The sequence below is a fragment of the Homo sapiens genome, chromosome 11 (assembly GCF_000001405.40).
Source record: "Homo sapiens chromosome 11, GRCh38.p14 Primary Assembly".
NCBI lineage: Eukaryota > Metazoa > Chordata > Mammalia > Primates > Hominidae > Homo > Homo sapiens.
Genome location: NC_000011.10, coordinates 101,700,628 through 101,717,796, shown reverse-complemented (window position 1 = coordinate 101,717,796; position 17,169 = coordinate 101,700,628). Strand labels below are relative to the sequence as shown.

The following is a 17,169-nucleotide window of genomic DNA, read 5'->3' as shown; positions in this document are numbered from 1 at the left end:
TACACACAATTTCTTGAGGGCAAACACCATGTCCTATTCATCTTTGCATTCTTAGTGTTTTGCTTTGTCCCTAGCATGGCATGGTGCTTCAATAATGTCTGTCAAATAAACTGATTATAAAAGGCATTGAGTATAAACTGCACTCATTATAAGTGTTAATGTACTTAAACTTGCCTTGGTATCTCTTACTTAATCTTGTTTAATGACATTGCTTCTGCCATGTATTTTGCCCTGGAAAACTGTGGTTTTGAGTCTCTATCTTTACAAATAGTGATTCTTAATTTATTATTGAGTTTTATTTGTAGTTAGATGATTAAAATTTAGATCATAAATTCATTTCAATTTTTTACTTTTATGACTGTGCTTAAAATGTATATCTTAAAGAATTTATTAGCTCACTGATATTTTTGAGAATCAACTCCATTGTCTTTAGGGAGAGCTTTCTTAACATCAATGTTTGATATTTTATAGATGTTTAGCATAATGATTTTTAATTCTTCTTCATATATCCCTACCATCTGACTGAATATAGAGTGGAAGGCTGTTTTCCTATGATTTTAGATTGTGAATTTTCTGAAAATAACTCCAATCATTACTTTCTAAAACATTATTTTTTTGTTTCATGGTTCAAATTTTATTAATGTTCTTTATATCAGTTCTCTTTTCATATTAAATTGAACAAATTGAAGTTGCTCTGAATGCCACAATAGTGAAATATAATTATCTCATAAAGTGCTTTGATTCTGTAGGCTAGAAACAGTGGACAGAAAGATAATCAGAGATAAACTGAACTATTATACCATTATTATACTTGTGAAACAGTGAATCAAGCTTTGTTGGGTTCAACCAGAAAAACACAAATCACCATTACACATTTAAACCAAGAGAATGGAATAAAGCATTAGTTACCCAGGTGTGTAACAAAGAAGTTATAAAAGATATATTGAAGCAACTCAGAAATTAGCAAAAGCAGGAGCTGCTATCACTGCTTGGCTGAAGAAGGATGTTTTGGAGGCCCAAGGACAGGGTTTGGCAGCCAGCACTGGAACCACTGCAGTCTAACTACTGGGAGCTGGAGCTACACAGTGGACACAGACTAAGTCAGAGGGGGAAGGCAACAAGTACCCTGGTTTCTTCTTTCCTTCCAACCTACAGTCTCCTGACAGTGCCTCCTAGTGCACAAACCCAGTTGGATGCCTGTAAAATAGGGCCTGAAGGGGTGACCTCTATGACGCAGAGTAGAAGAGAAGGGAGAGGAATGAATATGAGATCACATAGGCCACTACTGGCACCCATATTATTTATTATTTAGTGCCCGAATCTACACGCTCCTAACATCTTATGGGTCATTTAAGCTTGGGATATTCGGAAGACCTGTGATTGGCTGAGGTATTGGATTAGCTGGTTGCTATGTCTAGACAAAACATTATTAGACCATACTGCTTACAATGTTATACTGCTATTATGTACTTTAGCCCCATTTTCTAGTGGCCATTATGAGGTTGTAAATAATGCATCTTAAAAACAGTTTCATTGTGATATAATTCACATACTGTAAAATTCACTCTTTTTTTGTTTTTTGTTTTTTTTTTGAGTCAGAGTTTTACTCTTGTTGCCCAGGCTGGAGTCCAGTGGCGTGATCTCAGCTCACTGCAACCTCCACCTCCCGGGTTCAAGGAATTCTTCGGCCTCATCCTCCCCAGTAGCTGGAATTACAGGCATGTGCCACCACACCTGGCTAATTTTGTATTTTTAGTAAAGATGGGGTTTCACTATGTTGGCCAGGCTGGTCTCGAACTCCTGACCTCAGGTGATCCGCCTACCTCAGCCTCCCAAAGTGCTGGGATTACAGGTGTGAGCCACCACACCCAGCCAAAATTCACTCATTTAAAGTGCACAATTCATGTTTTGCACATTCACACATATGTGATATTATCACCACAGTCAATGTTTAGAATATTTTTATTACCTCATAAAGAAACCCCTTACTCTTTAGTTACTGCCCCTATGCTCCCCCATTGGCCCCACCTCCTAGTCCTAAGAAATATCTAATCTACTTTCTGTTGCTTTAGATTTCCCTGTTCTGGACTTTCATATGGATAAAATCATATAACATATAGTTTTTTCTAACTCTTTCACTTAGTGTAAGGTTTTTGAGGTTCATTCATGTTGTAGCATGTCTCAACATTTCATTCCTTTTTATGACTATACTACATTTTGTTATCAGTTTGTCAGTTGATAGAGGTTATTTCCATCTTTGGCTAGTATGAATAATGTTGCTATAAACATGTATAAACGTTTCTCTGTGGATATATGTTTTCATTTCTGTTGGGTATATTACCTAAGATACAACTGGCAGGTCATGTGGTAAGTCTGTGTTTAACTGTTTGAGAAACTGACTGTTTGCCTAAGTGTCTGTAACATTTCACATTCCATTAGTGGTGTGTGAGGGTTCTGATTTCACTTCATTTTCACTAACATTTGTTATGTAGCTTTTTGATTCTAGCCATTTTAAAGGTGGAAATAATACATTTTTATATGAAAGCACAACTTTATGGCAGAAATTGTTCCTTTGACATGAACGTATTTCCCAAGCAGGGCAAAGAGCACTGTAGTGCTCTCTTTTTCAGAGATATAGTTAGTTCAAGATCTGCTATTTAAGAACTGTAGGATGAGCAAGGGTTCAATATTAGATGTGTTCTTTTTTGAGTTTTAATTGTGTTTCGTTACAGTATCTAAGAGTGATAATACTTAGAGTGGTGTTAGCAAGACTGTATGTATTTTTACATTTGTTATTATATTTGATACAAATTAATTTGTCTAGTATATTTTTAAGTTGTAAAGCATAACAATAAAGTGAACATTTCTGAAACAATTGCCTACATTGAGAGAGAAAACATTGTCAATCACTGTTGTACCCCATGTGCGTCTTCTAGATCTCAAGCTACTGACTCACTCCCCAAAATAACTAATTCCCAGTATCTTGTGTTTAAAATGTGTGCTTTTAAAAACATATTTTGCCACATATGTATGTGTCCCTAAACAATATATTGTTCAGTTTGTTTTTGAGCTTTGTAAAAGTGGTGTCATCTTATATGAAGTGTTTTGTGACTTTCCATTTTTCACTATTTCTTTTATAGGATTCATGTATATTGTGGCATATAGCTAGAGTTCCTTAATTTTTGTTTTCTACAATAATCTGGTGTGTGAATATGCCATATCATTTAGTATTCCACGTTTAAACACTTAGGTAATTTTGTTTTTGTTTGCTGCTTTTATGACCAGTGCTGATATAAACATTCTTGCATATCTACTGGGGTGTATGTGCAAGGCTTTCTCTAGAAAGTGGAGTAGTAGAATTGGTGAGTGGTAAGGTAAGTGCATATTCAAATTTACATTATAATGCCAAATTGCTTTCCAAGGAGTTTAAACCAAATTATTAGGGTTGTAGGGGCTTCTACAAGAAACCTAATTTAGCTGACAATAATATTGCTATACTAGATTTACTTGGTTTAGTGTTTGACAGTATACGATTTTATCATTGTACATTCTATATTTTCAGCATGCATATTTAAAGAAGATATAGGTGGATTTTTCTTAAATTTTATTTTAGATACAGGGGGTACATGGGCAGTTTTATTACCTGGGTATGTTATGTGATACTGAGGTTTGGGGTATAAATCCTGTCATCCAGGTAGTGAGCATTGTATCCAATAGGTAGGTTTTCAACCCATGTGATATGGTTTGGCTGTGTCCCTACTCAAATCTCATCTTGAAATGTAACTCCCACACTTCCCACATGTGGGAGGGACCTAGTGGGAGGTAATTGAATCACGAGGGCAGGTCTTTCCCGTGCTGTTCTCGTGATAGTGAATAAGTCCCATGATATCTGATGGTTTTATAAAGGTGAGTTTCCCTCCACAAGTTCTCTTCTCTTGTCTGCCACCACATGAGACGTGCCTTTCGCCTTCCACCATGATTTATGAGGCCTCCCCAGCCACGTGGAACTGTAAGTCCATTAAATCACTTTCTTTTGTAAATTGCCCAGTCTTGGGTATGTCTTTATCAGCATCGTGAAAATGGACTAATACACCATGCTTCCCTCCCTCACTCCCCCCATTTAGTAGTTTATACTGTCAATTGTTCTCATGTTTATGTCCTTGTGTGCTCAATATTTAGCTCTGACTTATAAGTGAGAACATGCAGTATTTGGTTTTCTGTATTATTTCGCTTAAGATTATAGCCTCCAGCTGCATCTATGTTGCTGCAAAGAACATGATTTCATTCTTTTTTATGGCTGTGTAGTATTTCCTGGTGTATATGTACCACATTTTCTTCCAGTCCACTGTTGATGGACACCTAGGCTGATTTCACATCTTTGCTATTGTGAATAGCACTGTGATGAACATATGAGTGCATGTGTCTTTTTTCATAATTATTTCTTTCTTTGGGGTATATATACCTAGTAATGGGATTGCTGGGTTGAATGGTAGCTCTGTTTTAAGTTCTTTGAGAAATCTCCAGACTGTTTTCCACAGTGGCTGAACTAATTTACATTCCCATCAATAGTGTATACGCATTCCCTTTTCTCCACAGCCTCACCAGGATCTGTTATTATTTGACTTTTTAATAGTTGTTCTGACTGGTGTGAGATGGTATCTCATTGTGGTTTTGATTTGCATTTCTCTGATGATTGTGATAACAGCATTTTTTTTTCATGTTTGTTGGCTGCTTGTGTATCTTATTTTGAGAAGTTCCTGTTCCTATCCTGATATGGTTTGGCTGTGTCACCACTCAAAATCTCATCTTGAATTATAATCTCCATAATCCCTATAATCCACACGTGTCAAGGGAGATACCAGGAGGAGGTAATTGAATCAGGGCGGTGGTTTCACCCATGCCGTTCTTGTGATACTGAGTGAGTTCTCCTGAGATCTGATCATTTTATAAATGTTTGGTAGTTCCTCCTGCATTCATTCTCCTTCCTGCCACCTCTTGAAAAATTTGCCTTGCTTCCCCTTTGCCTTCTGCCATGACTGTAAGTTTCCTGAGGCCTTCCCAGCCATGCTGAACTGTGAGTCAGTTAAATCCTTTTCCTTTATAAATTACCCAGTCTCAGGCAGTTCTTTACAGCAGTATGAAAATGAACTAATATATGGCCTTTGCCCATTTTTTAATGAGGTTATTTGTTTTTTGCTTGTTGATGTGTTTCAGTTCCTTATAGATTCTGGATATTAGACCTTTATCAGATGTGTAGTTTGTGAATATTTTCTCCCATTCTGTAGGTTGTCCATTTACTCTGTTGATAGTTTTTTGTTTGTTTGTTTTTGTGCTGTGCAGATCTTTAGTTTAATTAGGTCCCACTTGTCAATTTGTCTTTTTTTTTTTATACAAGTGCTCTTGAAGACTTAGTAATAAATTATTGCCCAAGGCACTTGTCCAGAATGATGTTTCTTAGGTTTTCTTCCATGATTCTTATACTTTGAGGTCTTTCACCTAAATCTTTAACCCATCTTGAGTTGGATTTTTGTAAGTGGTAAAAGGTAGGGATCCAGTTTCATTTTCTTGCATATGGCTATACAGTTATCCTAGCACCATTTATTGAATAGGGAGTCCTTTCTCTACTACTTGTTTTTGTTGGCTTTGATGAAGATCAGGTGGTCAAATGTGTGTGTCTTTATTTCTGGGTTCTCTATTCTGTTCTATTGGTCTATATGTCTGTTTTTGTACCAGTACCATGCTGTTTTGGTTAGTGTGGCCCTATGGTATTGTTTGAAGTCAGGTAGTGTGGTGCCTCTGGCTTTGTTCTTTTCACTTAGGATTGCTTTGGTGTCTATTTGGCTTGTTTTTTTGGTTCTTATAAATTTTAGATATTTTTTCTAGTTCTGTGAAAAGTGACATGGGTAATTTGATAGAAATAGCATTGAATCTGTAGATTGCTTTGGGCAGTATGGCCATTTTTAATACTGATTCTTCCGATCCATGAGCATGGAATGTTTCTCCATTTGTGTTGTCTCTGATTTTTTTCTGTAGTGTTTTGTAGTTCTCCTTATAGAAATCTTTTACACCCTTATAGAAATCTTTCACCTTCTTGATTTATGTATTACTAGGTATTTCAATTTTTTGTGGCTATTGTAAATGAGATTGTGTTCTTGATTTGACTCTCAGCTTGAGCATTATTATTGTATAGAAATGCTACTAATTTTTGTACATTGATTTTGTATCCTGAAACTTTACTTTGAAGTTGTTTATCAGTTCTAGGAGCCTTTTGGTGGAGTCTTTAGGGTTTTCCATGTATAGAATCATATGATCAGTGATGAAAGATATTTTGACTTCTTTTCTTTTTTGGATGCTTTTTATTTCTTTATCTTGCCTGATTGCTCTGGCTAGAACTTCCAGTACTTTGTTGAATAGGAGTGATGAAAGTGGACATCTTTGTCTTGTTGCAATTCTTAAGGGGAATGGTTCCAGCTTTTGCCCATTAAGCATGATGTTGGCCTTGGGTGTGTCATAGATGGTTCTCATTATTTTGAGGTATGTTCCTTCAATGCCTAGTATGTATAGGGCTTTTATCATGAAATTATGTTGGATTTTATGAAAAGCTTTTTCTGTGTTTATTGAGATGGTCCTACATTTTTTGCTTTTAATTGTTAAGTAGTAGATCACATTTATTGATTTGCTCATGCTGAACCAGTCTTGCATCCCAGGAATAAAGCCTAATTAATTGTGGTGAATTAACTTTTTGATGTGCTGCTGAATTTGTTTTTTTTTTTAGTATTTTGTTGAGGATTTTGGCATCTTTAAAATCAGGGACATTGGTCTGTAGTTTTCTTTTTTCTTTGTGTCTCTGCCAGGGTTTGGTATCAGGCTGATGCTGGCTTTAAAGAATCAGTTAGTGAGGAGCCCCTTCTCTTTGATTTTTTTGGAATAGCTTCAGTAGAATTGGTACCAGTTCTTTGGACATATGGTAGATTCCATTTGCCTGTGAATCCATCTGATCCAGGGCTTTTTTCTGCTGGTAGACTTTTTATTACTGATTCAATTTCAAAACTTGTTATTAGTCTGTTCAGGTTTTCATATTCTTCGTTGTTTAATCTTGGGGGGTTGTGTGTTTGCTGGAACTTATCCATTTCCTTTAGATTTTCTATTTTGTGTTCATAGAGGTGTTCATAATAGTCTCTGAGGATCTTTTGTATTTCTGTGGAATCAGTTGTATGCCATCTTTGTTATTTCTGATTGCACTTATTTGGATCTTCTCCTTTGTTTTCATTGTTAATCTAGCTGTGTCATTCTGTAAAAGTCATAGGTATTTTCTCCTTCAGTACTGCCTCTACTCCATTCTTTCTATTATCTCTTCTAGGGTTCTGATTAAATCTTATTTATTCTTCATTTCTTTTATCTTGTCTTTCATGATTTTATTTTCCTTGCCTTTCTTGGTAATTTCTTTTTCCATTGAATTTGCATTTTGATTACTATGTATTTTTTGTTTCTTAAGTTCTGTTTGGTTCTTTTTCACCTGGTCATTTTTATAGTTTTTTGTCCCTTATTTTCATTTCAGATTTTAATTTGTTAACATTTCATACTTAGTTTTTAATGTTACTTTTCTAATAATTTTAATTTTCATTATCTATATCATTGATGATTTTTTTTTCTGCAGTTGTTTTGTTTTGTTTTAACTAATTGTGGCTTTTTCTTTGTAGAGTTAATAATTTTGATTGGGATTTTATGTTTGGTTAAACGTAGTCTATGGAAATGAATTTTCTCCAAAGAGGATTTATGTTAGTTTCTTCTTGTTTCCAGTGAGTACTACTGACTTACTATTCCTTTCCCCCTGAGGCTGCCAAATTCCTGTGTCTCAGGTGTAGCTCCTTGACATTGCATAGAGCCTATGGATATGTCCTCCAGTCCCAGTGATTCAGTAATGGTAAGGCTATTGTCCTTGGAATCCTTAGAGCTTACCTTTCTGATTTCAGTTTACTGTTTATTATGATCTTTACTGTTGTTATTATTAATCTTACTAGCTCATAGATATTTTCTTTATTTACTTGTGGGTATAATATGTATTGGAAAATTTTTCTAAATTTACACTATATCTAATTTTTTTTTTTTTTTTTGTGGAAGAAAGACCTTTAGATCTAATCTTCCTTATTGCTAGTAGAAATCTCTAGGGTATCTTTAAACAAAATAGTCTTTTATTGCCTCAAAAGTCAGGCTCATTTCCTGACTTTTTTTTTAATCACCTTATACTGCATCAGATGGTGAAAACAATTGAAAAGTGTTTATTATGGTTATTTTATGTGTCAAATTGACTGAGCCAAAGGATGTCCAGATCGTTGGTTAAACATTATGCCTGGGTGTGCCTGTGAGGGTGTTTCTGAATAAGAAGAACATTTAACATTTGGATTGATAGACTGAGGAAAGCCGGTTGCCCTCCCCAATGTGGGTAGGCCTCACCCAATCTGTTGAAGGCCTGAATAGAAAAAGAGACTGAATAAGAAGGAATTCTGCCTTTCTTTCTAACTGTCTTTGAGGTGGGACATCAGTCTTCTCCTGCCTTTGGCCTCAAACTCAGACTGGAGTTTACACCATCAGCTCTCCTGCTTCTCAGGCCTTTGGACTCAGACTGCAACTATCCCATCAGTTTTCCTGGTTCTAGATTTAGTCTCTATAATCATGTGAACCAATTTCTTATTAATAAATAAATACCTATCTACATACTTACCATTTGGTCCTCTTTCTCTAGAGAACCCTGACTAATACAATGTTCTAGAAAATATTGGCAATAGCGGTCAATGTAAATCCTGTCCCATCTTTTACTAGTAAGCACTTGAATATGGTTGTTGTATTAGTTAATTTTTATACTACTGATAAAGACATACCCAAGACTGGGCAATTTACAAAAGAAAGAGATTTAATGGACTTACAGTTCCATGTAGCTGGGGAGGCTTCACAATCATGGTGGAAGGTGAAAGGCACCTTCTCACATGTCAGCAGACAAGAGAAGAGAGAGCTTGTAAAGGGAAACTCCTGTTTTTAAAACCATCAGATCTCGTGAGACTCACTATCACGAGAACAGCATGGGAAAGACCTGCCCCCATGATTCAATTACCTCCCACCAGGTCCCTCCCACAACACATGGCAATTCATGATGAGATTTGGGTGGGGACACAGCCAAACCACATCATTTCATCCCTGGCCCCCCCCAAATCTCGTCCTCACATTTCAAAACCAATTTTGCCTTCCCCCAAAGTCTTAGCTCTTTTCAGCATTAACTCAAAAGTCCACAGTCCAAAATCTTATCTGAGACAAGGCAAGTCCCTTCTGCCTATGAGCTAGCAAAATGAAAAGCAAGTTAGTTACTTCCTAGATACAATGGGGGACAGGCATTGCATAAAGACACCCATTCCAAATGGCAGAAATTGGCCAAAACAAAGGGGCTACAGGCCCCATGCAAATCTGAAATCCAGCAGGGCAATCAAATCTTAAAGCTCCAAAATGATCTCATTTGACTCCCTGTCTCACATCCAGGTCACACTGATGCAAGAGGTGGGTTCCCATGGTTTGGGGCAGCTCTGACCCTGTGGCTTTGCAGGGCACAGCCTCCCTCCTGGCTGCTTTCATGGGCTGGTGTTGAGTGTCTGTGGCTTTTCCAGGCATATGGTGCAAGCTGTTGGTGGATTTACCATTCTGGGGTTTGGAGGACGGAGACCCTCTTCTCACAGCTCCAATAAGTGGTGCCCCAGTAAGGACTCTGTGTGGGGGTTCCAACCCCACATTTCCCTTCTGCACTGCCCTAGCCTAGCAGAGGTTCTCCATGAGGGCCTGCCCCTGCAGCAAACTTCTCCCTGGGCATCCAGGTGTTTCCATACATCTCCTGAAACCTAGGTGGAGGTTTCCAACCCCCAATTCTTGAATTCTATGCACTTACAGGCTCAACACCACCTAGAAGCTGCCAAGGCTTGTGGCTTGCACCTTCTAAAGCGATGGCCTGAGTTGTACCTTGGCCCCTTTTAGTCATGGCTGGGGTGGCTGGAAAGCAGGGCACTAAATCCCTAGTCTGGCACAGCACTGGGACCCTGGGCCGGGCCCATGAAACCACTCTTTCCTCCTAGGCCTCCAGGCTGTGATGGGAGGGGCTGCTGTTAGCTGTTAAGACCTCAGACATGCCCTGGAGACATTTCCCTCATTGTTTTGGGGATTAACATTTGGCTCCTTGTTACTTATGCAAGTTTCTGCAGTGGGCTTGAATTTCTCTTAAGAAAATGGGATTTTCTTTTCTATCACCTTGTCAAGCTGCAAATTTTCCAAACTTTTATACTCTTTTTTCCTCGTAAAACGGAGTGCCTTTGACAGCACCCAAGTCACCTGTGAATGCTTTGTTGCCTAGAAATTTCTTCCTTCAGATACCGCAAATTATCTCTCTCAAGTTCAAAGTTCCACAGATCTCTAGAACAGGGGCAAAATATTGCCAGTCTCTTTGTGAAAACATAACAAGAGTCACCTTTGCTCCAGTTCCCAACAAGTTCCTCATCTCCATCTGAGATCACCTCAGCATGGACTTCATTGTCCATATCACTATCAGCATTTTGGGCAGAGCCATTCAACAAGTCTCTAGGAAGTTCCAAACTTTCCCACATTTTTCTTCTACTTTTGAGCCCTCCAAACTCTTCCAACCTCTGCCTGTGACCCAGTTCCAAAATCGCTTCCACATTTTTGGGTATCTTTCCAGTAACGCCCGACTCTACTGGTACCCGTTTACCGTATTAGTTAGTTTTCACACTGGTGGTAAAGACGTACCCAAGACTGGGCAATTTATGAAAGAAAAAGGTCTACTGTGAAACTGGCATTTTTTTTGTGGTCAAATTCACTGAAGAAAATCCAGGAATGTGGAAGAAGATAAATGGTAATTTAGTGTTCATTAGTTTATGTGATTCTATACTTAAATGGAGACTACCCTCAGTTTTTCCAGGGAAGCGATTTCAGTGCTTTTCTACACACGGTTCTTTAAGAGGCATTCTATTATTAACAAGTAAAATGCAGTGAATCACCAAATGCTGGAGTGTTTCTCTGTTATGCATACTAACAGAAAATAAACAATATGACTAATGACAAGAACTATGACCAAGGTCTGCTGTTTCTTAATATTTTCTCTCTCTCCCCTTTCAATCTCTCCTCCCCTGATAAATACAAATATTGTGTTAAGAATTTAAATAGCTTGTGTACTTAGAATCTTCACATAGATATTAGATTTATTAAAATTACTAATTTAATGTGTTTTAAATATTTAACATAAAAACTTTTAACACGTTAAATTTAAATCACTAAGCCAATGAATTGAAGGTGATTGTGGGGATAATTAGGTTTCAAAATTGTCCCTTAAATTAAAAAATAATCACTGTCCAGAAGAAATTCTTAGGAGATAATTTAATTAACTTGGTTCTTGCCAGGCAACCCCTTTCTACTTTTCTTGTAAATGACCTCAGCTTGATAGAACTTGACCAGCTGTTCTGTGTATTGGTTACAGGGCTCAACTTCAGCTTATTAAACTAGCCAGGTTGCTTTGATAATAGTCCCAGGTTTCATTCCTGCAAATGTTCCTGCCTCCATAACAGCTGGGCCCTGGTTTTCTAACCCCCCTGCCTTAGAAGTCATAGTGGCAAGTCTCAGCCACTTTGACCCCTTCGTCTGCTCTGCTTGGATGAATTTATTTCAGTTTAGGATCTCCTGTTACAACTCCCTTGAAATCTACAAGGAGCAAAGGCAGTCTAGCCTTGCTGCATGGAGTCTTGGCATCCAGTTATACCATTAGGATGCTTTAGGGTCCAGTGAAAGAAACCAGAATTTAAACTGGGGTGAACACAGGCATATGTTATTTTATAAGGGGAATCCTGGGGGGACAGCAAACTCCAGGATTACTTAATCAGTGAATTCCACTAGCTATTCAAGAGCCAAGGTTCTTTTGTTCCTCTGTTATGTCCTCTTGGGCAGAAGCTTTATCCTCAGGCTGATACCAAATTGCTGGTAGCAGTTCCAGGCATCATTTCCAAATATAACCATATCCCCAAGATGAAGAGAATTATTTCTTGCTTGTTTTTTTTCTCTGTCGTGCTGAACCCCTATAGACTCCAGTGGGGATGGCATCAGGTTCAAGAGGCTGAAGAAGAGACCCAAAACCAGCAAACAAGACATGGGGTTTCACTGGGGCCTTACATACAGGGGAGAGAGTCCAGTGGTGGCAGGCTAGAGAGAATAATTGCACAGCCCAGTGGGAGCAGACTGGGCAGAAGAACTACAACTACTTGCAAAAAACATGAGGTTTATGTAGTATTTTCTCATAACCCTCTTTCCCTAACAACCTCCACCTGGTAACCTTCATGCAACACAAAACGTGGGCCTTGATCCCGTGTATGGCCCATATGCCACAGGGTGGGCTAAGGGCTCAGAGTTTCCCATAGACAATGAACAAACTTGCTGGTTGGCCACTCCTGGATTCCCTAGCTCAGAACACATATTCAGGTATGTCTGCCATACAGGGAAATTCTCAGGGTATGCTTAAGTTATTGCTATCAGGCACATTTACTGTATACTGTCTAAAGAGAGAGAAAATTGGTTTTTCTTTTTTCCCCCTGAAGTGCTATCCACCATCTGTCCTTCCACCAGCAGATTTCACCTCATATGAAAGTGGCTAGAGTTAAGTTACATTTGAACCCTAAAGCCTTCATGGCAAAGGGAATGGTAATGACCATTCCATCAGGCACCCCTTGAGTAGGGGATGAGGTCTCATCCTCTGAAATACATGGTGATGTGTGGGAGGTTGGTTATCTTAACAACATATGGATTTTATTAAGATGAAATAAGGGACAAAAGATGCTGGGTAGGCACCCTATAGAACCTGCCATGTCCCTTTGCACCACTTACTCTGTTATGCATGGAAGCCTGGGCTGTGGAATCAGGCAGATATGATTCAAGCCCTAAAGAAACCTTGGTCTCTCCAGCTGACTTTGATCAAGTTACTTAACTTTTATGAGGCTCAGGATTTTTTAATCCTTAAAGTGGATATCAGTACCTTTCAGGGTTATTGAAATGATTAAATAAGAGTAGCAATAACAACCATAAAACAGAAAAGGTTTATAGAGTTCTGGACTTACTAAGTTATTTTCCCTTCCACTTCATTAACCTGTCAACTCCCCATCCCTGGCAAAATGACTTAAAATTTTACAAATTGTATTTATTGTTTTTCTGACAAAGATTTTGCTGGAGAAACACAATGTAGGGGTGGGTTGCCCCTACACACCTGTGGGTGTTTCTCGTAAGGTGGGACGAGAGATTTGGAAAAGAAAAAGACACAGAGACAAAGTATAGAGAAAGAAATAAGGGGAACCGGGGAACCAGCGTTCAGCATATGGAGGATCCCGCCAGCCTCTGAGTTCCCTTAGTATTTATTGATCATCTGTGGGTGTTTCTCAAAGAGGGGGATGTGTCAGGGTCACAAGACAATTGTGGGGAGAGGGTCAGCAGACAAACACGTGAACAAAGGTCTTTGCATCATAGACAATGTAAAGGATTAAGTGCTGTGCTTTTAGATATGCATACACATAAACATCTCAATGCTTTACAAAGCAGTATTGCTGCCCGCAGGTCCCACCTCCAGCCCTAAGGCGGTTTTTCCCTATCTCAGTAGATGGAGCATACAATCGGGTTTTATACCGAGACATTCCATTGCCCAGGGACAGGCAGGAGACAGATGCCTTCCTCTTGTCTCAACTGCAAGAGGCATTCCTTCCTCTTTTACTAATCCTCCTCAGCACAGACCCTTTACGGGTGTCGGGCTGGGGGACGGTCAGGTCTTTCCCTTCCCACGAGGCCATATTTCAGACTATCACATGGGGAGAAACCTTGGACAATACCTGGCTTTCCTAGGCAGAGGTCCCTGCGGCCTTCCGCAGTTTTTGTGTCCCTGGGTACTTGAGATTAGGGAGTGGTGATGACTCTTAAGGAGCATGCTGCCTTCAAGCATCTGTTTAACAAAGCACATCCTGCACCGCCCTTAATCCATTCAACTCTGAGTTGACACAGCACACGTTTCAGAGAGCACGGGGTTGGGGGTAAGGTTATAGATTAACAGAATCTCAAGGCAGAAGAATTTTTCTTAGTACATAACAAAATGGAGTCTCCTATGTCTACTTCTTTCTACACAGACACAGTGACAATCTGATCTCTCTTGCTTTTCCCCACATTTCCCCCTTTTCTTTTTGACAAAACCGCCATCGTCATCATGGCCCGTTCTCGATGGTTGCTGTCTCTTCAGAGCTGTTGGGTACACCTGCAGACTAACAACAGACAAAACAGGCACACAAGGATTAATATGAGATTTATAATTGTAGTACTTCCAATGGTCTTAACCCAAGTGACAGGGTTAAGATTTGCGAGGCCATCAGCAACTCCTGCAATTGCCTCAGTTCCTGGCACCAAATTTAAATGGGCTTTTGATGCTTTGAAAATTTGTTCTTTTAATTTGGAAATGTCTAAAGTGAGATTATCTTCTCTTCCCTGTAGATGGCGTCTAACCATGTCCCAGTGATGCTCAGACTCATTATAAATTTGGGGTGTAATACAAAAATCTGACGTATTCCAGTCACATTGTAACTGGAAACGATGTTCTAAGCTCATGAGTCTGTCTCCCATCCAAATGACAGTTTGTCTAAGATCATTAATTTGATTTGCCAATTTTTGATCAATACTAGATTGTGAATTCCACAATCTTGTAGAATTTTTTTGCCAATCATTAACAAAGTTTACTGACTGAACAGAAGAGTGCAATGCAACTCCTGCTACAGCACCCGTAGCTGTGACTGCAATTAATCCCATAATCACTGCAATTAAAGTAAAAATGAATCTTTTGGATCTATTTAAAACACCTTTTAATACTTCAGTCAAAATATGGATGGATGGTGAGGCCTCCCACGGTCGGTCCATGGACACAGGGATCCACACGCCCTCTCTTGCTCTCACCAGCAGAATACGGTGTTGCCAATTAAAAGTTGAATCAATGCAAGTAAGCAATCTACAATTTTCACAGGTTATAGTCTGGGAGTCTGGTTTAATAACTATATTTCCTACAACTAGCATATAAGGGGGCTTTACGCAACTTTGTAAAGGAACTGTTAGACTGGAATTTAGGTCGACAGTATAAAATGGCTTACGATCTCTTGTTTCTAAAGTTTGATTTCCAGACCAAATTCTAATGTGGTGTGAGGCCACAGTAAGCCTCCATAATTCTGGATGTTCAGGACCAGAAACAGGACTTACTATTTTTGGTCTTGGGGTAGAGATTCCTTTTTCTCCCCATTCCCAAGGGTAGAAAGACTGCAATTTTTTATGCTTATGTTTGTCTAAACTTTCTGTTAAGTCGCTATCAACAGCTGGACTCACTTGTGCACTTGGACACGACTGAGTTTGTCCTGAGCAATTGTGGTAGAATTGACCTCGAGGTGCCCAATCTATAATAGTTCCAAATTCATTGTTTTGTAATATCACCGCACTATTGGCCACACATTCTTCCCAAACTAAAACTTCTGTATTTTTTGATTCTTTGGGAATTTCCTTGGGGCAAGGTTTCCCTTTAGGTCTAAATTTTAATGATCTTTGATAAGAAAAGTCTTGTAAATAATTTACCCGTGGCCTGAGTGACATCCCGCTTACCATGTGATAAGTGAATCTACTGATGGGACTGACAATAGGTACTTCTACCAACCAGTTTTGGACTGCAGGCATTAAACATCCTGGTGCTGTCCCTAAGCAAATAGGAGGATAACGATACCCAATGGAAATATTTATCATCATCCCTTCTTCCTCAGGTTTGGCAGGGCAGCGATCATCTATGGGGCCAGGTACCCATACACTATCATTAACATATACTTCTATAGGATTATCCATCCATGTGACTGCCCGAATTAAGGGCGGGAAAGGCACATAGGCCCAGTAGGTATAGTTAGCTGCAGCTGCTCCTGCAGGCATAGGGAGACTTACCACCATTGATACAATCATCAAGGCTGCAAGCAGCATACTCTCTGGGGTTTGTGTCACCTTTGTGTTCTCTAGATATTTTGTAGCTAACTGCGTCAGCTTCTTTAGTTGTGCCCAAGTTGGCGGCTCTGCCTTCTTGGTGGATGGCAACTTCATCTGTTCTTCTGACGTCACCATTTTGTTCATCTTGTGAGTCAACGGTGCTCGATTGCGGTGTCTCCGTCTCCGCGGAGGTGCTTTTCTTTGCATCTCTGATGGGTTCATTGTAGAACTTCAAATGTCTAGTGGGTATCCAAACAGGAAGCTGATTTTCTCCTGGTGAAACACAAGCAAAACCTCTCCCCCACGTTATCACCTTCCCTATTTCCCATGTCTTATTTTTATTATCTTTCCACCAAATTAGTTTTCCTTCATGTGGGCTGTTCTTTTTACCAGTAAGATGTTGTTCTGCAGAAGTAGTAGTCTGATTTCTATAAATGTTTAAAAAATTTAAAGTATAGAGTGCTAGATTAAGTTGCATCTGAGGAGTGGTACACTCCTTACTGTCTCCCCCTTCTTTTTGTTTAACTAATTGAGTTTTGAGTGTTCTATTAGTTCTTTCAACTATGGCCTGTCCTTGGGAATTATAAGGAATTCCTGTTGTATGTGAAATTTTCCACTGACTTAAGAATTTTTGGAAAGCTTTACTACAATATCCTGGTCCATTGTCAGTTTTGATTTTTTCTGGAACTCCCATTACAGCAAAACAAGACAATAAGTGTTTTTTAACATGGGAAGTACTTTCTCCTGTGTGGCAAGTTGCCCATATGAAATGTGAATAAGTATCAACTGTTACATGAACATATGATAATCTTCCAAATGAAGGTACATGCGTGACATCCATTTGCCATAATGCATTAGGACACAGACCTCTGGGATTAACTCCTGCCTCTTGAGTGGGCAGGTGTAAGACTTGACACTGGGTGCAATGTTGTACAATATCTTTTGCCAGTTTCCATGTGACATCAAATTTGTTTTTTAATCCTGCTGCATTTACATGAGTCAAAGCATGAAGTTCTTGTGCTTTTATGAGTGCAGATGATACCAGTAAGTCAGCTTGTTTATTTGCTTTAGTCAAAGGCCCTGGTAAATTAGTGTGTGCTC

The 17,169-nt window shown here is 39.0% G+C and overlaps 1 protein-coding gene across 2 annotated transcripts, besides 1 other annotated feature; it reads right to left on the bottom strand.

The window, feature by feature from the left end:
* Positions 9,117–9,757: an enhancer, noted in NCBI's record as "H3K27ac hESC enhancer chr11:101578771-101579411 (GRCh37/hg19 assembly coordinates)". NCBI's record gives its function as "activates a minimal SCP1, AML or CMV promoter by ChIP-STARR-seq in primed H9 embryonic stem cells {active_cell/tissue: H9 hESC(primed)}" and the evidence as "EXISTENCE:reporter gene assay evidence [ECO:0000049][PMID:30033119]".
* LOC124902738 (endogenous retrovirus group K member 25 Env polyprotein) lies at positions 13,211–16,802 on the bottom strand. 2 transcript variants are annotated; one of them, XM_047427998.1, is made up of 2 exons: positions 16,030–16,802; positions 13,211–14,330 (listed from the first exon to the last, which is right to left on the bottom strand). In XM_047427998.1, the coding sequence occupies exons 1-2, from the start codon at positions 16,288–16,290 to the stop codon at positions 14,274–14,276; spliced, it is 318 nt and encodes a 105-aa protein (XP_047283954.1). In that variant the 5' UTR covers positions 16,291–16,802; the 3' UTR covers positions 13,211–14,273. The 2 variants fall into 2 exon arrangements, with proteins under 2 accessions (XP_047283954.1, XP_047283953.1); XM_047427997.1 differs by having other exon boundaries at positions 14,305–16,802.
* Positions 16,803–17,169: the final 367 nt, after the last annotated feature.

What these genes read in the sequence shown, in the direction of transcription:
- LOC124902738 (XM_047427997.1), bottom strand. Translation starts at nt 16,290, where the DNA reads ATGAACCCATCAGAGATGCAAAGAAAAGCACCTCCGCGGAGACGGAGA.